The sequence below is a fragment of the Homo sapiens genome, chromosome 16, assembly GCF_000001405.40.
Source record: "Homo sapiens chromosome 16, GRCh38.p14 Primary Assembly".
Classification (NCBI taxonomy): domain Eukaryota; kingdom Metazoa; phylum Chordata; class Mammalia; order Primates; family Hominidae; genus Homo; species Homo sapiens.
The window spans coordinates 70,701,969-70,721,234 of NC_000016.10; the positions used below are offsets into that span (position 1 = coordinate 70,701,969).

General features: G+C 55.7%; 1 protein-coding gene across 4 annotated transcripts in view, besides 6 other annotated features; it reads right to left on the reverse strand.

The window, feature by feature from the left end:
* Positions 1-19,266, reverse strand: part of VAC14 (VAC14 component of PIKFYVE complex) — a 113,720-nt gene that overhangs the window by 14,530 nt on the left and 79,924 nt on the right. The window contains exon 15 of one of the 4 annotated variants that reach the window (XM_011523225.4): positions 5,216-18,875. The exons of the other annotated variants lie outside the window; for them this stretch is intronic. Coding sequence (XP_011521527.1) covers positions 18,752-18,875 — 124 coding nt within the window. The 3' untranslated portion in view covers positions 5,216-18,751. Of the gene's footprint in view, positions 1-5,215; positions 18,876-19,266 lie in introns of those variants that run through there. 4 annotated transcript variants of the gene reach the window in all.
* Positions 960-1,725: an enhancer, noted in NCBI's record as "H3K27ac-H3K4me1 hESC enhancer chr16:70736831-70737596 (GRCh37/hg19 assembly coordinates)". NCBI's record gives its function as "activates a minimal SCP1, AML or CMV promoter by ChIP-STARR-seq in naive H9 embryonic stem cells {active_cell/tissue: H9 hESC(naive)}" and the evidence as "EXISTENCE:reporter gene assay evidence [ECO:0000049][PMID:30033119]".
* Positions 1,726-2,493: an enhancer, noted in NCBI's record as "H3K4me1 hESC enhancer chr16:70737597-70738364 (GRCh37/hg19 assembly coordinates)". NCBI's record gives its function as "activates a minimal SCP1, AML or CMV promoter by ChIP-STARR-seq in naive H9 embryonic stem cells {active_cell/tissue: H9 hESC(naive)}" and the evidence as "EXISTENCE:reporter gene assay evidence [ECO:0000049][PMID:30033119]".
* Positions 2,494-3,259: an enhancer, noted in NCBI's record as "H3K4me1 hESC enhancer chr16:70738365-70739130 (GRCh37/hg19 assembly coordinates)". NCBI's record gives its function as "activates a minimal SCP1, AML or CMV promoter by ChIP-STARR-seq in primed H9 embryonic stem cells {active_cell/tissue: H9 hESC(primed)}" and the evidence as "EXISTENCE:reporter gene assay evidence [ECO:0000049][PMID:30033119]".
* Positions 3,260-4,025: an enhancer, noted in NCBI's record as "H3K4me1 hESC enhancer chr16:70739131-70739896 (GRCh37/hg19 assembly coordinates)". NCBI's record gives its function as "activates a minimal SCP1, AML or CMV promoter by ChIP-STARR-seq in primed H9 embryonic stem cells {active_cell/tissue: H9 hESC(primed)}" and the evidence as "EXISTENCE:reporter gene assay evidence [ECO:0000049][PMID:30033119]".
* Positions 12,392-13,111: an enhancer, noted in NCBI's record as "H3K27ac-H3K4me1 hESC enhancer chr16:70748263-70748982 (GRCh37/hg19 assembly coordinates)". NCBI's record gives its function as "activates a minimal SCP1, AML or CMV promoter by ChIP-STARR-seq in naive H9 embryonic stem cells {active_cell/tissue: H9 hESC(naive)}" and the evidence as "EXISTENCE:reporter gene assay evidence [ECO:0000049][PMID:30033119]".
* Positions 14,552-15,269: an enhancer, noted in NCBI's record as "H3K27ac-H3K4me1 hESC enhancer chr16:70750423-70751140 (GRCh37/hg19 assembly coordinates)". NCBI's record gives its function as "activates a minimal SCP1, AML or CMV promoter by ChIP-STARR-seq in naive H9 embryonic stem cells {active_cell/tissue: H9 hESC(naive)}" and the evidence as "EXISTENCE:reporter gene assay evidence [ECO:0000049][PMID:30033119]".

The following is a 19,266-nucleotide window of genomic DNA, read 5'->3' on the forward strand; positions in this document are numbered from 1 at the left end:
CTCAGGTCCTGATGAAGCCTCAGTCTGAAATGCAGGCCCCTCCTACCAGCCCCTTCTAAGAGAAAGTTCTAGTTCTTTCAGGGCACTCATCCCCAAGAAGCAAGGGTCTCCCGAACAGAACGGTAGGTGCACTGACCCTCCACCCCCTCCGCCAGGCCAGCGCATTCTCTCTGTTCATGCCCAGGCAGGCCTTTTTGTGCTGTGCAAACACCAGTGTGTGGAAAACGGCAGTCTGATGTTACATTTTTGCCCTTGTCACCCATCAGGCCAAGCCCTGCCCAGATCTTGCACTCTCTTGCTGGCCGAAGAGGCCTGGGAAGCCAGCTCATCCCAGGAGACTCTGGAGCACAAGCCTCCTCACGAGGTGTCTCCCTCTGAGTGAGGTGTCTCCCTCTGAGCATCGCTAATTAAAGCACCACAAGAGGGAAAGGGAGAGGAGAGGCCGGGAGCAGGCACCACAGAGAGCAGTGCTGAGGCCATGTCATGCTCCAGCCGCTCGCTCAACCACCCTTGCTCCAGGAGGAAGAGCCTGGAGAGGCTGCTCTGGGGCTGGCAGCGGAGGGGCCTCCACTGAGGATGACTCCCATCCTACTGCTGGGAAGGAGGTGGGGGCCGCATCCTGCCTGACCCCAGGTCACCCTAGGTTTGGGGAGAAGGAAAACCCAGATCACTGCGTTGCAAAGCCTCAAGAAGACAGTAATAATAGCGGAAGTGTTGGCCAGCTCACGGGGCCCTTACTACAGGCAAGGCTCAGGGCAGAGGGTGTGAGAAGTGGGCCCTTGAGTCAGGAAGCTGGGGAGGGAGGAAAGAGGGCCCATTTTCCACTACAGTCCCTAGTCCACACCGGGATCTGTACAGACAGGTGGCCTTGGAGTTCCCACGCACCTGGCACTGGGCTCTGGGTTAGCTCCACTCGCAGTGTCATGCTGAGTCCTCACATAACCTGGGCAGGGTTATCACCCCCACTGCAGAGAAGAGGAATCTGAGGTTCAGAGAGGACCCACAGCTGACCGGAGGAGGAGGAACAGAGTATTCAGACCTAGAAGAATCGACTTCCAGAACCTGAGTTCTTCCTCACCACTCTGCTTCCCCAGTGCCTGCTGTGAGTGGGCACCAGGGGCTGTCCCTGCCCGGCGGAGGCCTGGCAGATGGCTGCCTTGCAGGGCTGCTGCATCATCACTTCTTTGCTGAGCCCCAGCCCAGCTTGAGTTGCCTGCCTGGCTCCCAAGCGCAGTGTCAACAGTGGAGCACAGCTTGCAAGCATTAAACATGTGCCCATATTTTCCAACACCCGCATGAAAACGCTATTCGTCATGAGACAATGGCCTGGAATGTGCTTGGAAACAAGGCAGAGAGCTGGGGTGGGAGGGAACCTGAACAGGGTCTGGGAGGGCATAGGGGACCTCTTGTACCACCCTGGAGACCCACCATGGGGCTGGAGGAGGGCAGGGGTCCACAGGGGAGTGTGTCAAGTCAGTAAGGGGGCCTCTGGTATATCCCGATGACTCAGGCACAGGCAGGGGGGATGTGGCCAGAAGGCAAAGACACACGCCATTTAGGGAAGGCTCCTCCCTCAGTGGCAATGGAGCTTTTGGCCCAGCAGGGGCTGTGTCACTGGTTGTGTCCTTCACACACAGCCCAGAGGCCCTGTGGACGCAGCTCTGCCTCCCCGTCTTGGGCTGCTGGCTGCCGCCTGGACAGCTGCTCCCCCTTCCAGGTCTGGTTTTGTGCTGGGGGCGGGACCAGCTTCTCTTTGGTTTCTCTGCCACATACCCAGGCGCTCTCAAAAGAGCAACCTGCCCTCGGCCTGCTCTGAACTTCCCGGAGCCCAGCAGAGGGGGCGGTCACTTAGCCTTAAGAACTGAGACTACACAGCCTTGCCCATGAACATTCCCTTTGGGGCAGCCTCCAAGGCCAAGGCTAAGGCTCATGCTGAGACCAGGGTAGGAGAGACGTGGCTCTGCATCCCCCTGCAGCCTTCTCCACTGCTCTGGAGCAGCATCTGCCTGGAGGTGACTGCACCACACCTGCCAGGGGCTGGTGTGAGCCTTCGTGTCACTGTCCCTCCCATCACTAACACTGGCAAGCATCAGCACACATCAGGTGCCAGCCATGGACAGCCGCAGGCCTCTGTGGGAGATGCTCTCCCAAACCCCCACCTGGCATCCACACACAGCCCCTGCTTCAGGTGAAACCTGGGCCAGGGTGGGCAGGAGGAGTAAGGTGTCAACTGGCTTTGTAGGTGCCGCAGTGTCTGGGTGGCTCTAGACTGGCCAGTCACGCCCTAAGGTCATGTGGTCCAGGCTGGCAGGAGCCCTGCCTCATGGTAACAGAAGGGGCGGTGGGAGAAAGGCATGGATGGGAGCCTGGAGCCTGGCACTGTCTTCTTTGTCCTTTCCTGGGTTGGGGGCAGGGGCCACACACTGCATCTCCTCCAGGGATAAGACAGGTCACTGATTTGGGCAAAGCCAGGCCTTGGTTTGGAGGACAAGACTTCCTGGGGGCTTTACCCCCCAACACCCCTCCTGCCTGGGGCTGTGTGCAGAGCAGCAGAAGAGGGGCTGTGCAAACACTGCTGTCTGAGGGTGCAGCTGGCTGTGGCCAGTGGCCTCTCCCCACCTGGTTAGTTCCTGCAGGCCTGGAGCAGGGCATGAGGAGGGCCAGCTCACAGTGGGAGAGAGGGAGCAGTTCCTTTTAGGACAGACTCATCGTGGGAGCCTGGGGAGGGCAGAGCCTGGCACGTTAGAGGCTAGGGACAGCCGGAGCCCGCTCGGGAGGAGCTGGGGAATGGCTCCTTCGCCAGGTGTCTGTAGGAGCAGAGCCCCGTGCTGCAGGTGAGGCCCAGGAGGGCAAAGGACGGAGCTTGGGTCTCCTTGTGGGGAGCTGACATTCTGGCTCCCTGCCGTGCTCCGCCCTAGGGAAGCTGGACTCTGCCATGTGGCTTCAGGCAAGACATGAAACTTCCCATGATCTCATGTCCCTGCACCCTCTGAAAACAGGACCAGCGAAGTGACCAAGGCCAGAAACACTTCCCCATCCTCACTGTTGGCTGATCCTTCCCAGGTCCCTCTGCTGTTTGCTCGGGATACTTGTGCCGGCTCCCTTTGGGGACCCTCCTCTGGCTCTGGTCACCAAGCAGGGGCATGCTACTGGCCCCCCGCCCCCACCTGCCCAGTGACTGTTAGGACGCTGAGCCATCTGCTGGGGATGGGAACCCATGCACTCACTGGGTGCAGGCTCTGCCCTCCCCACCCCTCCTTCCTTGGGCCTGGCTTCTTAAGAGGGTGACCAAGGCAGCAGCAGATGATGCATCTGACCCGTGGTGGGGGTGTTTTGGGTGAGTGTTCAGCCTGGGAGGAGGAGAGGCCGAGGGCCCAGGAATGCCCTTCTGCCAGCACTGGCCTGCAGGGCCCTTGGTGGACGCAGCCTGCCTCTCTGCGCAGGTGGGCCAACCTGGCGCTCAAGGGCAGGGATGTGGACAGGGCATCAGATGAACTCAAGAGAAGTTCATGGGGAAATGGAGACTGAAGCAACCATCCCCTCCCAGGGGCCTCTGACATTCTTGACTATCCCAAACAATAAGCCACCAGCAGCGTGGAAAACAGCTGGCCTGGCGGGGACAGACCCTGGACTCAAACCCTAGAAAGAGACAGCAAGGTTGAGAGATGAGCGTGGAGGCTGGGGGCGCCTGCTCCCGCCCGGCATGCCCTCAGCTGCTCTCTCTACTCCAGCCCTCACTGGCCCCGCAACGCTGCCCTCCCCATGATGAACAGAGGACTCAGAAGAAGCCTCAGCTGGCAAGTTCCAGGAGGGGTGGGTGTACCCCACCTCCTCAGTTTTCCCCTATGCTCCACCTTGTCCACTCTCGCGTGCCATCGATGGGACATCCTTCCCAGTGGAGCCTTGTTGGTGGCCCCATGAGAGGCAAGAGTGTGGGTGATTTTGCTCGGTACCTCCTGTTAGACTAGTTCACACAAGTGGCCTCACTGGATACAGATACAGGAAGGTCTCCTCCTACTGCCCAACCACCCCAAGAACCCTATCGGGTTCTTCATGCCTCTGCTTCTCCAGTCTGGCACCAGGACCCTCTGGTGGTGCTCATTTCCCACCCCAGCAGGTCCAATTCTCTAGCCCCACTGGCCTGGTGGGGACCCTGCCTGCAAGCCCAGCTCTTTGGTCAGAGGGTGTCATGGGGCATGGGGTCAGCGATCGCTGTGCTCCCTGGCAGGCTGTTGGCAGCTGTGGATGGGGATGGGGTTCTTACATGGGTGACTGGGCAGGTAGTCCTGGCTCCAGGTCCCTCAGAGGCTGGGCTGGATGCTGATTCTGAGGACAGTGTGGGCTGGGTGGACTCCACCGGTCTCTCTGCAAGTCGCCTTAGGACTGGGCAAACCAGCAGGAGGGCAACAGGCTTCAGGTGCCTGCTGAGGGCAGGGCATCCTGGCTCAGAGGCCCCTCCCTTCTCCCTATGGCCAGGCCTCCTTCCTTCATTTCCATCCCCAGCTGCCTGTGGCTCACTGACCATGCACAGAGGGGCGAGCCCTTGTTTATTTTCTTTTTTGAGACGGAATCTTGCTCTGTCACCCAGGCTGGAGTGCCATGGTGCGATCTTAGCTCACTGCAACCTCTGCCTCCCGGGTTCAAGCGATTCTCTTGCCTTGGTGGCTGGGATTACAGGCATGTGCCACGATACTAGGCACATTTTTCTATTTTTAGTAGCGACATGTTGACCAGGCTGGTCTTGAACTCCTGACCTCAAGTGATCCACCCGCCTCGGCCTCCCTAAGTGCTGGGATTACAGGTGTGAACCACCACGCCTGGATAGCCCTTGTTTCCTTTCTACATTGGATGCTGGATGGTGCCCACATCCATCCCCTTCAGTGGTCCAAGGCCAATGGACCCCAGTACTTTCCTAGGAGACACCTGGAGTCTCACGGCCAATAAATCTGAGGTGCAACCTAATATCAAGGCTACAAACTACAGAGAAGGCCTGGACCGCTCCCACCGGAAAAGGGCCTCCTCCCTGCCTTGTTCCTGCCCCACAGCTGGGATCCTTTAGGAATTTAAAGAGAAAGCAGCTTTTGGGTCAGTATAACCTTAGGATAGGGAGAGGAGGGAGTAGCCTCCCATCTCTAGTCCAGAACGCTCCAGAATCTCACTGCATCCTGCCCCTCCCCCTCTGCTCTCTTCCCTTCCAACTCTCTGCTTCCAAGTATGAAAACTGTAAATCTGTTTTATTTATTTCAATCAATCCTCGGCAGTGTGCCCCTCAGGGCAAAGGCAGCCATGGTAACCCTGCCAACTCATGCCTTAAAAATTCATCGTTGTTTAATGCAGTCGATGTGTCTGGTACACTTAAAAGTTTCTTGCAGGGAGTGGGGTGGGAGGAGGAGGAGGATGCGGAACTTGTTTTTCTGGGCTTTGTAGGGAGCTGGTGGAAAGGGGATGGAGGGAGGAGGGGCACAGGAAGAGGCCTTCAGTCCTCTTAGCCATCTGTCCCTCTGTGCAAGAGGAGGTGCCATCGGGCTCTGGGAGGTCCCAGACACCTGTGCTGGGCTCATCTAGAGACCTCCATAGAAGGTCTCATCTGGGTGGGAGCTGCCACAGAAAACGAAACAGTCTCACAGAGGCAGCTGAAGCCTCAGCCCCCCAGGATTAGCAGGTCCCTCACCCTAAGTTTGGGGCTTGCTCTAGAGAGCAAGTTGACTCCCGCTTTCTGAACTGCCCAGGGTGGAGTCAGATGACCCTTGCTGCCACGGGAGGGGCTCTGCCTTCTCCTCAGAATGGAAGTCATCTTCTACCTTGGCCCATCGGGCTGGCTTGGCCTTTTTTCTTTTTTTTTTTTTCAAGATGGAGTCTCGCTCTGTCATCCAGTGCAGTGGTGTGATCTTGGCTCGCTGCAACCTCTGCCTCCTGGGTTCAAGTGATTCTCCTGCCTCAGCCTCCTGAGTAGCTGGGATTACAGGCGCCCGTCACCACACCTGGCTAATTTTTGTATTTTTAGTAGAGACTGGGTTTCACCATGTTGGCCAGGCTGGTCTTGAACTCCTGACCTCAGGTGATCTGCCGCTTTGGCCTTCCAAAGTGCTGGGATGACAGGCGTGAGCCACCGCACCTGCCTTGGCCTTATTTTCCATGTGTCTTTTCAGTCTGACCACCCCGTCCCCTGTGTCCATTCACAGGTACTCAAGCCCCCTGTTCTTTCCCAGGACAGCCCTCCCCTGTCTCCTGCCTCACCTGCTGCTAGTTCCCACCAATTTCCTTCCTAAGGTGGTACTTGGCCCCTGGGCCCTCCCTGAGCCCTGGTTCCTTTTCAGCTTACACCACAAGGCCTAGGGCTGGGCCCCTACAGGCAATGGGGGAGATGAATGCTTGTAGGACAGAAAATTAACTTCCAGGAAGGGACAAGGTGGCCTGGGTTACTTTGGCCGTGGGGCTGGGCATGCACATGGAACTGCAGGCCAAGGGGCTTCAGAGTCAGGTGGGTTCTGAACTGTGTTATCAGGGTTCTTGGCGGGTGTCTGGCTCTGGCGGAAGCATTTCGCATTCTGCAAGGAGTCCCTGTGAGGGAACTCAGCAGGTGTTTGACTCACAATGAGGTCTGCGTTTGTGTCTTAGAAAAGAGGCTGCGCCTTCTATCCCACATAGACACACCCCAGAATACGGCTGGATGCAGGTCAGATGGCGAGGGCTGGGGACAGGCGTGTAACCCTGTGCTGGAGGCTCTGAAGCTGAGATAGCAGGAAGGACCGATGGGGTATCTGCTGAGATAGTGTCTTGGTGTTGGAGAAAAACGCAGTGTGAGGAGGGCAAGGCCGGGGTGAGGAGACAGCTGGGTGCGGGGAGGAGGGGCAAGAGTGCGGCCGGTCTGGCCCCTGCCTGGAGACCATTGTCCCCCGGCCATGAAGCCTTGGCACGGCCGCAGGGACCTTCTTGCATGCTGAATCCTCAGTGCAAATGAAAACAAAGGGACTGGTCACTAAAGGAAATCCTGTTGTCTCCATGATAATCAACTCCAAGAAGTGCTGAGAAGTGCCCAAGCCCTTGGGTCCCTGCTGGGCTCCTGCCCTCTCTTGCCACAGGGATTTCCTCCAAGCTGGAATCACCATTTCCTTCCTAATCCTGGCCACAAATGACAGTACATTAGGAACATCGTGTACATTCAACTCCTCAGCATGGGCCACTTGTGATTTCAGCCCAGAGCCCTTTCTAGCAGAGAATGCCATGTGCGGCACAGATGAGAGGCCTTGCCAAAGACCCCCTTGGTCAGCCTAACCCCAGCACCAAGTACTCACTGCTGCCCACCCACCCCTTTGTCCCCCAACAAGCTCCAGGGCCTACACAGCACAGAGCCTTAGACACACTTTTCCGGGAAGACAGTTTGGACCTCCTGAGCTGCAGAGATCACTGGGGCCTTCTGGTGTGGACTGGAGCGAGTTTCTCCAGAAGCTTCCTGTGGCTCCGGGGCAGCATATCTGTAGCCAGCTCCTTTTACCCCACTCTCCCGCTGGAGCCACCTCTGTGGGTGGATGGCACTGACCACACCTGGCTGGGATGGTGTTGGCCTGTGATCCACACTTAGTTCTACCCTCCTAGGGCAATGGTTTGTCTCCAAGGGTACGAGAGGGAAGCAGGGCCTTGAAACTGCAGCCATAGTTCTGTAGCCTGGACCCAAACTCTGACCCAGCGGAGAAAGTCCACGGGGCTGACTCCAACAGCAGGTTCCCGGAAACCAGTTGGGAGCAGCAGCTCCTGAGTATGGGAGTCAGGCCAGCTACTGCCTGAGGTCCAGGCTGGGGAGATTTTAATATAAAGATTCCTGGTGCCCAGGGAGACATGGCCAAGGCTGGTGCTCTGAACTGGCTGATACATTCCCTGGCTGACACTGCCAGGGAAATGGCCAGGGAAATGGCATCCCTGAACCCTACCTGCCCTGGGGCCTCCTGGGCTCTGCTGGAGAACTGCAGCTGTAACCTTTCTCTCCCTTTGAAGCCCTCTGGGCTTGAACCCTCTAAGCAGGATTTCCTCCTGAGGATGTGCTCAGCTGCCCCCGTGGAGGCCAGCCCTGCCCACGAGGAGGCCGCCACCGCCTGGCACGCTGCTTCCTGGCCCTGCCTGCCCTTGCACGCCCCTGCCACCCGCATGGGACAGGAAGGAACTGAAGCCAAGGACTGGTCCCAGGCCACACAGCCAGGGCCACAGAGGGGCCAGAACTTGGGTTTCTGACCTGGCACTCATGTTCCCATGAACATGTTCCCATGCTCTGTGGCATCTGCAAGGGACACAGACCTCCCTTCCCTGGCTGGCTCCCCTTCCCACCCATTCCCTGCAGCTTGTATGCCCAGGGCAGAGACACCCCTTCACCCTGTGGCATGTGACCTCACACAGGGTCCTCGGAGATTGAGTCTGTCTTGGGACGGGTAATGGAAAGGCATCCCTGCATCTCTGCCATTTTCCCCTGCAAACCGCAGGGGGACTTGTGAGGAATGAGGCGGGTGAGGGACAGCAGTGCTGGGACCCGAGTAAGGTGGCCAGAGCTACTCCGGCCCCAACAATGTCTGGCGACGCCCCTTGCCCGTGTTCTGATCACCAAGCTGTTTGTTTTCCTTTACTTCAGGCGACGATTCCCAAACTAGTCCCTTTGTTCCAGGCCAGGGAGCACTCCAGCTGCTGCGTATTCCACAGTTTACAGATGGTGAGCCTCCCCTTCTGCCTCGTCGGTGCTGGACCAAGACACGGAGGCCTCGGCAGGGCCCACACTCGGCCCCTCTGGCCTTGAAGCCACGGACCCAACTTGGGTCCAGCAGCCCCAGTGTTCATATGGCCATAGCCCCGTGTCAACATTTCCCTCCCCCAAATTATTTAACCAGATGGGCTGTCCTCCTGGTCATGGGCCCTGGGTGATTACAGTGATTCACTAGTCTCTCGTGTTCCCGTGGCAACTTTCCTTCAAAGGACCTCCTGCGCTCTGAAGGAGTTCCGGCCAGGGGCTGCCATTCTGGTTTCTGGGGGCACCTCGAGTGCTCTGCCCTGGGCGCCATGCGCATGGCTTCAGCTCCACGTCCCTCAGCGGGGAGCCGCCAGCCCCTGTCCCATCAGTGTCCTCATCCACCCAGAAGGCTGCGCATTTACCCTCTAGAACAAAGAGGGTCCCTCAAGCCAGGAATACCCTAACTGAGGAACCCCAGAGCCTGGCTGTATGCATGGACCACGTGCGGGCCTCACCTCCAGGAGGTCCACGATCTGTACTCTCAACAAGCTTCCGGGGCGGCCAGAGACCTGCTGCCTGCAACTGCCTCACCAGGCCTGATCGCTTCAGGCATGGCCATGCCCTCCTGAGGGAAGGAGGAGACTCTGGCAGGAGTCTGAGAGGATGGGTGGCAGCAGGGCCTGGCTCGGCCTTGGAGCTCTAGGCGGAAGGCCCTGACACTTGCCTTCTTGAGGCCCCACCCCCACCTGTGCAGAGTCTGGGTCCTGGTTTACGTTTCTGCTTGGCATTTCACTGTTTCCCTGCTGGTCTCTACCTTCACGGTCCCGAGCCTGCTGTGCACAGCCCTGGCCTCCTCTGTTCAAACAGAAAGATAAAGAGGTCAGCTCTTGGGCAAGACCTGTGCTTGGACTCTCCCTGGCCTCCTGACAGCCATGTGGCCTGGCCCACCTGCATAGCCCCAGCACCCCAAGAGGAAGCACAGCTCACAGCTGCTGCCCTGGGCACGGGCCATTCCTGCCTTTCTGGCTGTGATTAGGAGCTAGAGCCATGAGTGCCTTTCTTGTCTTCACATCTTTAGTCCAGGGGTTTTGTGAAATTTTATGAACTGAGATGGCTTTCTCTAGGCTTTATAAGTGCCCACTTAAAGAGCACTGAGATAAGTGTCAGGAAACAGGACGAGAAGTTAAACATGAATACTCACCAGTGGTAACAAAGAGCAAATATCAGAGCAGCCTCACGGCGGCCTCTGAGAGGCCGGTAAAAAGATCAGAGTCTCAAAGGACTGGGAGGATGGAGGTGCCACAGCCGTAGTGGTGGGCCACAGCATGGCTGGGAGGGGGCTCCTTCAGTTATTCTCGGCCAAATGGAAGGGGAGGGGTTCTCCTATTTGTACCCTCCCCCACCCCCTCCCGGGAGGCTGAAAAAATTCCTTTTGTGATCAGCCATTTTCAGAGAATTTTAAGACGGATGAAATAGGCTTTTCATCCACATGTTCCCTGCCAGCCCAGGAAATCTTCCCTGGATTAAACGCGTGAGAAATAAGAGGGCCCCAGACATGAGGCGTCCTTGGAAGTCACCCGAGGGGACATGTCTTAGTCCTAGCTCTGGGTTACAGGCGAGGCGCCCTATAGCAGAACTTGCGCTGGTGGGCAAGAGGCCTGCTCCCTCCACTCCCCACCAGGATCACGCCACTGCCCCTCTGAGCAAAGACACGAGGTAACCACCGACAGAGAAAGGCGGGTGGACAGATTTAATACTGGGATATGGCAGCCTCCGTGGGGAGGGACAGTGACCCTGAGCCATTGGGCTCAGGCTGGGAGCGTAGAGGCAGTGTCTAGCCGGGCTCAGGATCCGGAGGGAGATGTGTTCTGCACAAAGACAGTGAAGGCGGTGGACCTGGGCAAGCTGCAGAGCTCTCCGAGTCCAGAGACCACTGCTGCCAAACCAGCACCAGACCGAGCCTCATGCTGATAAATGCACAGAAAGGGCTGCAGAAGGAAACACACCAAGCTGAGACCCAGAGGCTACTTCTGAGGGAGGAGGTGGCAGGTGGTCAGGGGTCTTTCCCATTTACTGCTATACCATTCTGCATTATTTCAGTTTTTATTGTATGTGGTTTAATATTTCTAAACAGAAAATAAAGTATTGAGAATCCTCTGTGTGCTTCTCTTGGACTCCTTCTTGGAGAGGCTTGGCGACGGAGCCCACGGGCAGGGCTGGGGAAGGTGCTACCTCCCCAGGGCATGGGTGCTCCAGCCTGGCCACGATAGTGGAGCTTTCCTCTCTAGAGGGGCTGCTGCAGGTTTAACAATGGAAACATGCATTTTACAAATGAGAGGATCAACAGCCAGGAAAAGGTATTTTTAGCTACGGTGGCTCTTTGCTTCAAAGGCGTATGTTTCATCTAAAACCAGGCAAACCTCCTACAAAGTCTGCCTGCTTGCAAGGAGTGATTAGCATAATACAAGCACGAAAAAAAAGGCCTGGCTCCACTTTGAGGCAGGAGTGCCTACTACAGGGGGAGGCTTTCTCCTAAAATAGAATCGCCAGCAGATGAGGAAAGTCTTATCAATGGAGACGAAGCCCCCATCTCCACTTAGAGCAAAAAAGCTACCGTGCGCGAACAGCCTGGCTATGACGGGCGCGCTGCAGCCACCAGCATAGAGCAGGGTCTGAGGATGGAAACGCTGACCACAGTTCCGCCCTGAAGACCACCATTCTGGGTGCTGTTTGAATCACTTTTGCCTCAGGCTCCCACCTTCTTCCAATTAAAGTACAAAGGGTTTCGGGCTGCCTTTCCAGACGTCCTTCCCCTGGGGGTAGGGAAGAGCCCAGTCAAGAATGGCCAGGGGAATGGACGTGGAAGAGGGCAGGCTTGAGGAGACACAGATGATGAAATCTTAGGGAGGCACCTTCCCCAGAGGCCACACCACTGTGAGTCAGATGTCTGCTCCTCTGGGACCCTCTATCAACCCAGAGCACTTGCCTCCTGGGCTCCCCACTCTCCTGCTCAGGAGCATCTTTGTTTTTGTTTTTTTTTTTTTTTGTAGAGATGGGGTCTTGCCATGTTGCCCAGGTTGGTCTTGAACTCCTGGGCTCAAGTGATCCACCCACCTCTGCCTACTAAAGTGCTGGGATTCTGGCGTGAGCCACTACGCCCAGCCTGTGGGCATATATTTGATTGCTATCTTTTCTCTCCTAGAAACCCATTAGCTGGCTGTGGGAAGCCCGAACCTGGGCCTGTGGGCCTGTGTATACGTGGAGAAAGGCTTGAACTCTTCTTCAAACACCACAAAAATGAAACGGAGGCTGTGACCCTCCAGGAGCGGTAACTGCAGATACAAATCTCTGCAGCTGCTGGAAACAGGGCACTCGGCAGCTGCTCCAGCGCCCCTCTCCTGTGGCCTGCTTGCTTACCAGGCCCAGGGCCCATCCTGGGGGCCTGCGACCTTGGGCTGCGGGGGTCGGGGAGGGGGCTGGGGCAGAGAGGTGGCAATTTTGCTCTCTATTTTAGGCATCACTGGCAGGAATGAGAGAAGAGACTGGAAGGATCAGTCATCTCTCCATCATCTCTCTCCCCTGAGGATCCCCACAGGGGTAAGATCATAGATGGGTCTTCCCGCGAGGGTCAGGGACTGGGAAATATTCACAGACGGGGCACGCAGCTGAAGATCTGAGAAACCAATTACTATGCTACTGGGGGGCCCAGGAGAAGCAGAAGGAACTGGACCGGGACAGCCGCTCACGCTTCAAGGGCAGGAATGGAGGTGACTCCAGGAACCTGTCAACTGTGGGGGCAGGGGGCTTCCAACAGAGGTAGGTGGGGGTCTTCTTCAGGAAAAGGGCTGGAAGGAGGGGCTCAGCTCATGGGAGAGGAAGGAAAAAGCTGACTCTTCTCAGGAAAAATGAGTGGACAAGGAAAGCTGGCCGAGTTCACAGGCACCTGGCATTAGCTGACTGAAGCCAGCGTACCCTGAAGAGCCAAACAAGTCCATGGCAGGGATGTCTGCGGTGTCGAGATGGTTTTAAACTTAGTCCAGATTATCTGCTTAAACTGCCTGTCCTAGCAGCACTGAACCTTCCAGAATGACACAGCAGCAAGAACCCTGGTCAAGCCAGCTTCCTGAGCCGGCTTCCTAACTAGCCTGCGGTGTTTCACGAGACTAATGGCAGAGGAGAGTGTGTAGGGCCACAGCTGTCATGGTGAACAAGTGAGGGTCTCACCACCTGCCCCCACTGGCGAGCCCTGGGCCCCACTTCCCTCCGTCCCACTGGAAGCTCTGTGAGCCAGCCACCTCAGGCACAGCCTGGCACATGCCCACTGCCTATCTGAAGGCTCCTCTCAGGGACTTGGGCACCCTCACACAGCGGTAGGAGGTTTTCTGAACCTGCTTCAGCCCTCCACTGGCTCACAGGGTACCTCAGAGGTAAGGCCACCAGGGGCCTCCCAGCCACACTCCAGGTTGCCCAGAGGGTGTGGGGACTGGTCTCTGGGCTTCTGAGCAGACTGCTTGCTGTGTCAGAAACACCTCCCCCACTCCTTCCCCGACCAGTTCCTACTCATCTTTCCTGGCTCAGCTTAGATGTCACGTTTCAGAAGCTTTCCCAGACTCCCCCAACAGGCTGGGCACCCCCTCCCCCACATCTGTTTCACCAAGGATCACCACTGTGCGATGCTATGCTTGCAATCGTGACTAACCCTGGCGGGCAGGGACTAGCTCTGCCCACTGCGGTGTTCCCACTGGTGGGCACTGTGCCAGGCACTGACGGACACCCAGGACAGGGTTGCTCAGTGATACATGGCGCTTCCTGGCTCCCCTGCCTGCCCAGCACAGCAGCAGCGCCCTGCCGCCCCCTGGGTGAAACTCTGATCTACCCTTGCAGGGAGGGGGCCGAGCTCTTGCTCCCGGCGGTTCCATTCTCAGAGAGGCGAGCGCTCTTGCCCGGCCTGACAGCTGTGGCCTAATTTCCAGGGCTATAACCGGGCTCCTTATTTTTACCCACTTGGTATTTTTCATTACTGATGCATGGGAGATGGCCAGGGATTGGGAATGGGGGAGGTGTGGGCTAATGGAAGACGCGTATGCGGTGGAGTCGGGGCTGTCGGGCCAAGGTGAGGGCCTGCAGGCGGGATAGAGAAGGGGTGGGGACAGACCAGACAGATACATGTATTTTTAAATTTTACAAGGGAAAAAGAAAATCCCAAATCCCACCCCCTTGTTTTTCCTCAGTAAGCATTTTCAACAAGGTCACAAATGCGCTGGCTCTATAGATTTTTGGCTCCAAACCACATTTCAGGCAGCCTTTAAAAGCCAATTCTTGGCATAGCTTCAGCGGAGCCTGAGGAGAGGGGAAAACTAGGGCACTTTTATGCTTTCAGAAAACCTCAGATCCAGGTCACAGCTTCCTGGCTCTACTGACGCTGTGGGGCACCCCCCTTCTCACAGGCCTGACCTGAGGACCCCCCTCCACCTCCCCCAGTGTTTTCTTCAGAGCATGGATCACAAGACCAGGTCACCTGTTTCTTTGTTACTTGTCCCTGTGGGCCCCTCCCATGAGGCTGCAGCCCCGGGGGAGGCGTGAGCCATGCCACAGCTGGCATGGGGCCTGGCACATCCCAGGCACTCAGGAATATTTGCGGAATGCCCCTCTGTGTGGAGTGAGTGAATCTTTGACCCCTGTTCCCCAGCCAGGGAGCTCTCTCCTTATGAACTCCCCAGTGCTCTTGTCCAGCCCCTATAAGATGTTCCCATCTCCCTGAAATACCTTCTCCCCGGTCTGTGGAGGCTGGGCCCATGTTGGCCTGGCCCAGGCCCTCCTCCGTACAAAGGCAGCAGGCAGTAAATATTTACAGGAGAAATCAAAGCCTCAGTTTCTTTCTGTATGAAAGAACCCAACTGGCCCATAAGGTCCCTCCTGGCTTCTCCCTGACTGAGACTCTCTGGGACTCTGATCAGTTTTGGCCCTGCGGCTACCCAGGCCTGGGTCACATGTATGGAGACAGGGCCCCAAGCGGGCCCTGGTATGAGGTGCTGGGCCTGCGTCCCAATTCCACACGCGACAAAGGGTAGAAGACCCATCCGCTCTGCCTGCATGGATGCTTCCAGAAATAGTGCTGTTGGCGGAAGGAGGCCACAAAGGAGGAATCAGCTGGAGGCCATACCTGGCCACCACCTCCTCACTGCCTGCTCCCACTGTGGATCTGGAGGGTCACTGGGTCACATATACAGCTTCACCCTCCCACTTTCCTGCAGGAAGGAAGGAGTTGGCTGCTTGGAGGTGAAAAAGTCACTCCTTCAGTTACCCCCATGGTGGCCCTTGGTAGGGCCTACTTCACACTCCTCCTCTGTGAGCATTTAAACCCAGACCACCAGGTCCACACCATTGTTGGCTCTGCCTCCTGATGTCCATGGCCTTGGATTCTGGTTCCAGAACCATGACGGCCCATGACACCTGCTCCTGTGTCTGAGGGTGGGCACCCGACCCTTTTCAGGGCAATCAGCACCAGCGCACTCTGGCCACACTGATGGGTCCCATGGGACATGAGCCCAGGACAGGTGCTGAAGGCTGGGGTGCCGAGAGGGCCGGAGCGAGCCACCTGGCCACAAAGCGGGTGGCCTGTCCACTAATGGGGCAGATGGAGGAGGAAGAGCCAGCTGTGGCGGGGGAGAGGAGGACTTGAGGACAGGAGGTGGCCTGAGCCTTGAACTTCTAGTTTTAAATGAGCCCATCCTCGCCTCTGCCTGCACACTACCTTTATTTTTCTTTTTTTAAAAAAGTATAGAATGTATTTTCCGGATATAGATCGGCACACTGAATAGTATTGATACCTTTGTTTTTCTTCCTGTAAGGGTGAGAATTGGTTTTCTGCCATGTGCCGTCCAGAGTCCTGACTGCACAGAACTGGACAAGAGCTAGTTGCTGGGTGGGTTGGGGGACAGAAGACGGGAGAGTGCTGGGGTTTGAGTATTCATTTTTTTCTTTTTCTTTTTTTTGAGACAGGGTCTCACTCTGTCACCCAGGCTGGAGTGCAGTGGCACGATCTCAGCTCACTGCAACCTCTGCTTAAGCCTCCCTCTCGCCTCAGCCTCCTGAGTAGCTGAGACCACAGGCGCATGCCACCATGCTCAGTTAATTATATTTCTCTTTTTTTGTAGGGCGGCAAGGGTTTCACCATGTTGCTCAGGCTGGTCTTGCACTCCTGGGCTCAAGTGATCTGCCTGCCTTGGCCTCCCAAAGTGTGGGATTACTGGCATGAGCCACCGCGCCCGGCCTTGAGTATTCATCTGAATGACTCTATAACTTTCTCTCTTACTCTTCTCTAGAAACAGGAGAAAGTGAGTCAACCCCAGAACACCTGCGTTCCAGGAGCTGAGCCCGAGGGAGCAGTTGGGCCAAGCCTGGCTCTGTGACCAGCCACTGCCCACCCCGGGAGCTCCTCGGCTCCTCACAGTTATCTACTAGTTGCTTCTGGTACTGAGTGCACAAGTTACTAGGTGCCAGGCTGTCTCCTAAGCACTTTCCATATGCTTCGTCACTCAGTCTCACAGGGATTAGGAGGAGATAGTGATGATCCCCGTCTGCATTTCTCTTTTAAGAAAACTGTGCTTGGGGCTGGGTGCGGTGGCTCACGCCTGTAATCCCAGCACTTTGGGAGGCCAAGGCGGGCGGATCACGGGGTCAGGAGATTGAGACCATCCTGGCTAACATGGTGAAACCCCGTCTCTACTAAAAATACAAAAAATTAGCCGGGTGTGGTCGTGGGCGCCTGTAGTCCCAACTACTCGGGAGGCTGAGGCAGGGGAGAATGGCATGAACCCAGGAGGCAGAGCTTGCAGTGAGACAAGATTGCGCCACTGCACTCCAGTCTGGGTGACAGAATGAGACTCCTTTTTAAAAAAAAAAAAAACAAAAAAACAAAGAAAACTGTGCTTGGGAAGGCAGCCACATGGCCAGCCCCTGTGGTTCTCCTGGCTCAGCATCTCGTGGGAAGAGTGACCCCTTTCCTTAGGTGTGCTGTTGCTCCCCAACTCCACGTGGGGTTCTGTTAGGGCTGCCACTCACAGCACCCCTCAGCCCCACCTCCCTGCCACTGGCCCTGTCTGGGCCAATCAGAGCTTCCCTCTGGATCATAACTGGCTGGGATGCAATGCCCAGGCGATGTGGTGGCCGTGTCTCTGCCACTTGGAAGAGACCAAAACAGCATGGCTGACCTCAAACAAAGACTGCAGAGATCTTGCTGACCCTGGTCTTGGTCTGGATACAGAGGCCAGTGAAGTTCCTTTGCTCATTTTGGTGCCTTTGACCTGGGTTCCTACCACATGCCACCCAAAGGGTGCTGCCCAATACAGTAAGATTAGTGGTTCCCAGCTCCAGGCTGCAGACCACCGCTGGCCTGGCTGCCGCAGAAGCCCCTTGGATTCTGGCAGGTCGGGAGGGCTGGCAGGATGGCTAGGAAACTTTGCTTTTACAAAGCACAAACAGGCTGGACTAGCTGGTTTCCAAGACCCTGTCAAGAATTAAGAAAAAACACCTCTCGATTCCAGGTGGATCATGCTCAGCATCCGCTTACTGGGAATGCGGAACAATCATCACTCAGAAACAGGCGGCTTCATGGATATGTTTCCATGAGCTCCTAATTCCCCGAAAAAGCATCACAAAACAAAAAAAATGCTAACTGTAAAGAAAAATTGATTACCTGGACTAGATTAAAAATAAAGTATGTCTGTTCATCAAAGGACATCATTAAGGGAGTGATAAGGCATGCCACAGAGTAGGAGAAGATAATGACAGTATATACAACTGAGAAAGACTCAGATTCAGAATATACAAAGGACTTCCACAAATCAATAAGAAAAACACCAAAAACTCAATGGGAAAATGAGACTTGAACAGACTCGTCACAAAAGAGGATATCCAAAAGGCCACTAAGCTATGAAAAGTTGTTCAACTTCATTAGTCTTTAGGGAAATGCATATTAAAACCACAAGATGATACTACTGTACCCCTAATCAGAATGGCTAAAATCAAAGACTGATGATACCAAGTGTTGGTGAGGACGTGGAGCAACTGGAACTCTCCCACAATGCTGACGGGAGTGGAAGCTGGCACAAGCACTTTGGACAGTACCTCCCTAAGCCCATGGTATGTCTGCTTGCCAATCCAGCAATTCCTAGGTATATACCTAATAGAAATGTGTCTATATGGTTATCAAAAGGCACATAAGAAAGCATTATCCATAATAGTGTCAAACCGAAAATAACCCCCATGCCCATCAATACTAGAAGAGATAAATAAATCACGGTATCGTCATACAGAATATTCCATGGAAATGTGAACTACTGTGACATCCAACACAGACGAATCTCACAAACCCAATGTGGATCCAAAGAAGCCAGGCTTTGTGAAAAGAGCACCAGCTGTACGGTTCCATTTATATGAAGCTCAAAACCAGGCAAGATGAACCTCTTGTGTTGGAGTCAGTACTTGAGGGAGGCGGGGAGGGGCTGTCACTTGCAGGAGACGTGAAAGTGACCTCTCTGGTGCTGGAAATGTTCTATTTCTTGATCAGAGGGCTCATTCCCTGGTGTCACAGTTAGTGAAAATTTACAAGAGCACACTCATGATTTGTGCACTTTCAAATAGTACGTTCTTTAAATTTACAGTCACCAAAGACATCCAGGCATCGAGCCTGGAGGGAGTTGAGGCTGCCACACCGCTTTGATCAGGACGAGGAAAGAAGACACATCTGGGGTGCTGAAGCATGTGTTATGTGGTAAGAAAGGGAGAACGCTTCCCGGGGAGACGGCAAGACCAAGCTGAAAACAAGACAGTGTCTCGGGCACGGTGGAGCTTCCAAGGCACCTTTCTCTCTGAAGCAGTGGGAAGGGCTGGGAGTTGTCAAGTTTGGATGACTGTTCTTCCTTCAGAGGGAAAGGAGTGGATATGCAAATAGCAAGCCTGGGGGCAGAAGGGCCCATCTGAGGACACAGGTTTACTGATGACGAGGTGGATGGTGAAACGGAGACACAAGTGCCACAATCAGGTGGAAGCAAATGCTCTCCTGGGGTACTGAGGAGGCCCCGATGGCCCCATGTTGGGGCTATCCGCCCATGTGGTCTGGAGCTGGAGCTCAAGACTGGGGCCGGGGCAGGTCACACCCCTTCTGAGGGAATAAAGAGACACAAAACTTAGCACTTAAGGAAGCAGCTTGCGAAAAAGGAAAGTGAGAGACGGGGCTCAAAACAGACTGGTGGAGGACCAGAAAAAATGAGCGCTGACTTGAGTGCACTTGAATCATCTCAGCTTGGCTTCAAAGAGGCCAAAGTGGATGATGCGAGCCACTGCGATAAGCCAGGGGAAAAACACATCCCTGAGAAGAGGGGGTGACACATGTCCTATTGAGCAAGAGTCAAAAGGGAGATTCAGACCTGGAGAGATGTTCACCGTCAAAGTGCCAGGGAGCTCCTGGGAGAGTATGCCGGCTACAGACCAGAAGTGGGCCAGAATAAGGGACAGGCCGGCATGGTGGGGCTGGGGCCTAGAAGGAAGCCAGA